Source organism: Homo sapiens, chromosome 18, assembly GCF_000001405.40.
Source record: "Homo sapiens chromosome 18, GRCh38.p14 Primary Assembly".
Taxonomy (NCBI): domain Eukaryota; kingdom Metazoa; phylum Chordata; class Mammalia; order Primates; family Hominidae; genus Homo; species Homo sapiens.
Window position 1 is genome coordinate 8,971,635 of NC_000018.10, and position 6,303 is coordinate 8,977,937.

The 6,303-nt window shown below is 41.1% G+C and overlaps 1 annotated feature.

Moving 5' to 3' along the window:
* Positions 5,474-6,005: an enhancer, noted in NCBI's record as "NANOG hESC enhancer chr18:8977106-8977637 (GRCh37/hg19 assembly coordinates)". NCBI's record gives its function as "activates a minimal SCP1, AML or CMV promoter by ChIP-STARR-seq in primed H9 embryonic stem cells {active_cell/tissue: H9 hESC(primed)}" and the evidence as "EXISTENCE:reporter gene assay evidence [ECO:0000049][PMID:30033119]".

The following is a 6,303-nucleotide window of genomic DNA, read 5'->3' on the forward strand; positions in this document are numbered from 1 at the left end:
ACTACAGGCGTGTGCCACCATACCCGGCTAATTTTATTTATTTATTTTTGTGGAGACAGGGGTCTTGCTATGCTACCCAGGCTGGTCTCGAACTCCTGGCCTCAAGAGATCCTGCCCCAGCTTCCCGAGTGGATTTCTGTTTTTTAATGGCTATTTCCTTTTCCCCCTGACATTTACAAAATGCTTACATATGCCAGGCACTATGTTTAGTGCTTACTTGGATTCTCTCATTTAACCCTCAAGTAATTCTCTAAGGAAAGTACTATCATGTCACCCCCATCTGAGAGGACTGAGGCTCAGTGAGGTCCCGTGAGGTCACAGAAACAGCTTTTAAACTGTGTCAAGATAGCCAGAGCTGGAACAGCAGAGCTACGCTGATTGCCCACTGGACACGGAAAAGCGGCTTCTCTCACACGAAGGTGTGTTCAGCAGGTTTCCCTAGGTTAAAGGAGAAAGGCTGGATGCAGGATAGAAAGAAAAATGCTTTGCTCCATGAAGGTGGATTCTGAAGGGTGTATTTGACTGAGGAGACAACTGTAAAGTCCCTTGGGAATTGGTCCTTGCTCTGATTTTTGCCACCAAAGTACTGCTGTCAAACAGATTCAAACGGGTTTCACAATTAATGTGAAGAGGCTCCGGTTACACCGCAAATGAGTGTGATTGCTCCTCAGGATTAAGGATGTTTTTCTGTGGCTGAACTGAAGCATCTGTCCTCAGGGCTGGAGGCTGGGTATCACCACAGCTGACCTCCTCTCCATGGTAAGTGTCTCCCACCTGCCCCTCACGGCCAAACAACTCGTCAGGGGCTCAGGGAATGTGGACTGGCCTTAGAATGAGAATGTGCATGTTGCCGGTTCTCAACATCATTGTCTTCGAGGAAAACCTCATTTGTGTTTGTGTGTGATTTTTTATTTAATTTTTAAAATTTTTGTGGGTACATAGTAGGTGTATATACTTATGGGTTATCTGAGATGTTTTGATACAGGCATGTGAGGTGAAATAAGCACATCATGGAGAATGGGGTATCCATCCACTCAAACATTTATCCTTTGAGTTACAAATAATCAAATTATACTCTTTAAGTTATTTTAAAATGTACAATTAAGTAATTATTGACTATAGTCACCCTATTTTTGCTATCAAATAGTAGGTCTTATTCATTCTTTCTATTTTTTTTTGTACCCATTAACCATCCCCACCTCCCCTCCACAACCTCCCCCACCTACCCTTCCTAGCCTCTGGTAACCATCCTTCTATTCTCTATTTCCATGACTTCAATTGTTTTTTTAGATCCCACAGATAAGTGAGAACATGTGATATTTGTCTTTCTGTGCCTGCCTTATTTCACTTAACGTAAAGACCTCCAGTTCTATCTATGTCGTTGCAAATGACAGGATCTCATTCTTTTTTATGGCTGAATAGTACTCTATTATGTTTATGTACCACATTTTCTTTATCTATTCATCTGTTGATGGACACTTAGGTTGCTTCCAAATCTTGGCTATTGTAAACAGTACTGTAACAAACATAGGAGTGCCAATATCTCTTTGATACACTGATTTTCTTTCTTTTGGGAATACACCCAGCAGTGGGATTGCTGGATCATATAGCAGCTCTATTTTTAGTTTTTTGAGGAACCTCCAAACTGTTCTCCACAGTAGCTGTACTAATTTACATTCCCACCCTTTTCTCCACATTCCGAAGAGCATTTGTTATTATCTGTCTTTTGGATATAAGCTATTTTAACTGAGATGAGATGCTATCTCATTGGAGTTTTGATTTGCATTTCTCTGATGATCAATGATGTTAAGCACATTTTCGTATGCCTGTTTGTCATTCATGTGTCTTCTTTTGCGAAATGTCTATTCAAGTCTTTTGCCCATTTTTGATCAGATTATTAGACATTTTCCTAGAGTTGTTTGAGACCCTTATATATTCAGGTTATTAGTCCCCTGTCAGATGGGTAGTTTGCAAATATTGCCTCCCATTCTGTGGGTTGTCGCTTCACTTTGTTGATTGTATCCTTCACTGTGCAGAAGCTTTTTAACTTGATGTGGTCCCATTTGTCCATTTTTGCTTTGGTTTCCTGTGCTTGTGGGGTATTACTCAAGAAATCTTTGCCCAGAACAATGCCCTGGAGATTTTCCCCAATGTTTTTTTATATTAGTTTCATAGTTTGAGGTCTTAGATTTAAGTCTTTAATCCATTTTTTGATTTTTATATATGGTGAGAGATAAGAGTCTAGTTTCATTCTTCTGCATATGGATATCCAGTTTTCCCAGCAACATTTATTGAAGACTGTCTCTTCCCTAGTGTATGTTCTTGGCACCTTTGTTGAAAATGAGTTTATTGTAGATGTGTGGATTTGTTTCTGGTTTCTCTATTCTGTTCCATTGGTCTATGTGTCAGTTTTTATGCCAGTACCATGCTGTTTTGGTTACTATAGCTCTGTAGTATAATTTGAAGTCAGGTAATGTCATTCCTCCAGTTTTGTTCCTTTTGCTTAGGATAGCTTTAGAGATTCTGGGTCTTTTGGGGTTCCATATAAATTTTAGAATTGTTTTTTCTATTTCTGCGAAGAATGTCATTGGTATTTTGTTAGAGATGGAAAACTTCATTTTTATTAGAGAACTGCAAAAGCAAACACCACCACTTGATAGAGGCTTCTTCCCTGCCTCCATAGGCTCTTGCTGCTGCTAATCCTCCAAGATGAATCTGAAAGAGAAAACAACTGCTTAGTTGCTACAAATCATAGGAAGACTCTGGTGAGAAAATCTCCATAAAAGACTTCGGAAAAGATATGTGTCTTAAGGCAGAACTTGAGGAAAAGCAGGAGACTTGGCACAGAAGCCGCAGAAGGCTTTTTCCATGTGTAGGAACTTGCAAGGATGGCAGGAGGCTACAGAGAGCAGACTTGAAACCCTGTGAAAAGAAGAAATAAGCAAAGCAAGAGGATAAGCCCTGGGAGAACAGCGTGCTTCCCAGTGTCTGCCTCGTCCTGCACAGTAAGAGCCAGGTCAACTTCAGGAAATAAGCAAGGCCTCTAAAAGGAAGCACGACCAGAAAATACAGCACAACTAGGAGCATATGGAAGGGATCCAAGAAGTGGAGACCATCATTCGGTAATAGAATCTGCTTTGGAGATGAGAGAGCCTAGAAGGATGCCCAATGCCCAGGTAAATATAGATTGTTCAAAATACATTCAATTTTCAAATAAGCCACCTTGGGAATTTTTAAATTATTATTATTAATATTATTTATATATGTTATATATAAATATTATTTATTATTAATAATATTATCCATAATGGGGTACTATTCAGCCGTAAAAAAGAGATCCTGTCATTTGCAAAACATGGATGGAACTGGAGGTCATTATGTTAAGTGAAACAAGCCAGGCACAGAAAAACAAACATCACATGTTCTCACTTATTTGTGGGATCTAAAAATCAAAACAATTGAACTTATGGACATAGAGGGTAGAAGATTGGTTACTAGAGGCTGGAACAGATAGTAGGAGGTAGATGAGAAGTGGGGATGGTTAATGGGTGCAAAAAACATAAAAAGAATGAAGAAGGCCTACTATTTGGTTGCACAACAGTGTGACTATAGTCAAAAACCTACTTATACATTTAAAAATAATGAAAAGAGTGTAATTGGATTGTTTGTAACACGAAAGATAAATGCTTGAGGTGATGGACACTCCATTCTCCATGATGTGATTATTACACATTGCATGCCTGCATCAAAACATCTCATGACTCCCACAAATATATATACCTATTATGTACTCACAAGAATTTTTTAAATTTTTTAAATAAGATAATAATATCATAGTGATTATTTTAATCCTAGAAAAAATTGCTGTGTCCTCAGAATATTACATTACTTTCAAATAAAAATGGGAAATTAAATTGGGATACAGTTCTAATATTGTTCCTTATCCCTGCTCTGTCCCACTCTCCCATCTCCACACCTAGAAACATCCAAGAAGAGACCCTCTTTCTTCATCCAAAGAAGACTGAGGACTAGATTCTGTGGAATTTGAGTTTCTGACTAAAACATGGCCTGTTTTTCCTCCCCCTACAATCTAGGACCTGGCCCTCTGGGGGGTGTTTCTTTTTCTGTAACCATCTAGTTTCTCTTGCCAGTCAGACATTGTCTCATCCAGTGATAGAAACCTGTACTACTGCCGTTCAAGTCTCACACTAATCACCTGGCGTTAGCACAGATGCCACAGACCGAGGGCACAGTCCCCGTCAAGACAGCCCTCACTGGCCGGGTGCAGTGGCTCATGCCTGCAATCCCAGCACTTTGGAAGGCTGGAGCAGGAGGATTGCTTGAGCCCAGGCGTCTGAGACCAGCCTCGGCAACATAGTGAGACCCCATCTCTGAAAAAAAAATTGTTTTAATTACCCAAGCATGGTGGCACATATCTGTGGTCCCAGCTACTCAGGAGGCTGAGGTAAGAGGATCACTTGAGCATAGGTGTTCAAGACCAGCCTGCGCAACATAGCGAGACCCTATCTCTACAAAAATAAAAATTAAAAAATTAGCTGGGTTTGGTGGCTCACACCTGTAGTCTCAGCAGCCCAGGAGGCTGCAGCAGGGGGATTGCCTGAGCCTAGGAGTTGGAAGCTGCAGTGACTATGATCTTGTCACTGCACTCCAGCCTGGGCAACAGAGCAGAGATCCTGTCAAAAAAAAAAAAAAAAAAGTCACCCCTTACTGCAGAATCAGTCTCAAGTTTGGGGGTCCCAAAGCTACCTGCACTTCTGACCAACTGGCCACAAATTCGGGGTTTGCATGACTCCTTCAGTTTCAATAATTCACTAGAATGACTCAAAGTGCTGTACTTAGGATTACAGTTTTATTATAAAGGATACGAGTCAGGACCAGCATATAAATAGATGCCCAGGATGAGGTCTGGAGGGTCCTGAATGCACAGCTGCCATGCCCTCTTCCCACAGCATCAGAGCACATTACCCTCCTGGCACACTGATGTGTTTACCAACACCCAGGGGGATCATCAGGTGTCTGGAGCTTTGAATGGGTTTCATTTGGTAGGTGTGACTGACTGAATCATTGACCATGTTATAGAACTCCATCTCTAGCATCCCTCTCCAGGGGTCAGGAGGTTGGGCCTGTATTAAGTGACTCAAAGCCCCAACTCTCTAATCACAGGACTGGCTTTTCCACAAGACTGGCCCCATCCTGAGTCACCTTGTTAGCATAAACTCTGCTGTGGTCCAAGGGCCCACCATGAATAACAGATACTCTTATCACTCGGATTCAGACGCCATGTTCCCGGAACCTAAAACAAAAACTAGACACATTCTTTATTATACAACACAATGACAACAGTGGATATTCATTGTTGGTTTTCTAGATGTTAAACTCTGTGCTGAGCACTTTATATACATCTCATTTGATCCTCAGGAGATCCTGAGAACATGTGCCCAAGGTGGCCGGGTGTGGCCAACTGCTTGGTTTTACACATTTTAGGGAGGTATAAGATATCAATCAATATATGTAAGATGTACATTGGTTCAACCCAAAAAGGTGGGACAACTCAAAGGTGGGGGCATCCAGGTCTTAGGTAGATTCCTTATTTTCTTATTGGCAATTGGTTGAGTTTATCTAAAGACCTGTAATCAACAGAAGGGAGGGTCTGGGTTAAGAGAAGTGTTGTGGAAACCAAGGTTCTTGTTATGTAGATGAAGCCTCCAGGTAGCAGGCTTCAGAGGGAGTAGGTTGTAAATGTTTATTGTCAGCCTTAAAAAGGTGCTGGACTCTTAGTGAATTCTCTCCTGGGTCAGGAAAAAGACTTAGAAAGGGAAAGAGATCCTCTACTGAATGTAGATTTTCCCCAGAGACAGCTTTGCAAGGCCATTTCAAAATATGTCAAAGAAATGTATTTTGGGGTAAAATACTTTGATTTCTATCAGGGCCTACTATCTGTCATGTTGGTATCTTATTGCTACAAAGAGTCTGTTTTGGCAGTCTCAATGTCTCTGTTAATGTTAATGCTGTTGGTCAGCTATGCCTGAATTCCAAAGGGAAGAAGGTGTAATGAGGAGTGTCTGACCCCCCTTCTCATCATGGCCTGTTTCAGGTTTACTTTAGAAAGCCTTTGGCCAAGAGGAGGGGTCCATTCATTTGGTTGGGGGGCACTTAGAATTTTACTTTTGGCTTGCAAATAATACTGTGTGTTGGACACATGATTATCCCCATTTTACAGGTGACAAAACTGAGGCACAGAGAAAGGAAATAACTTCCTTGAATTCTCACGGCTGCCACAGC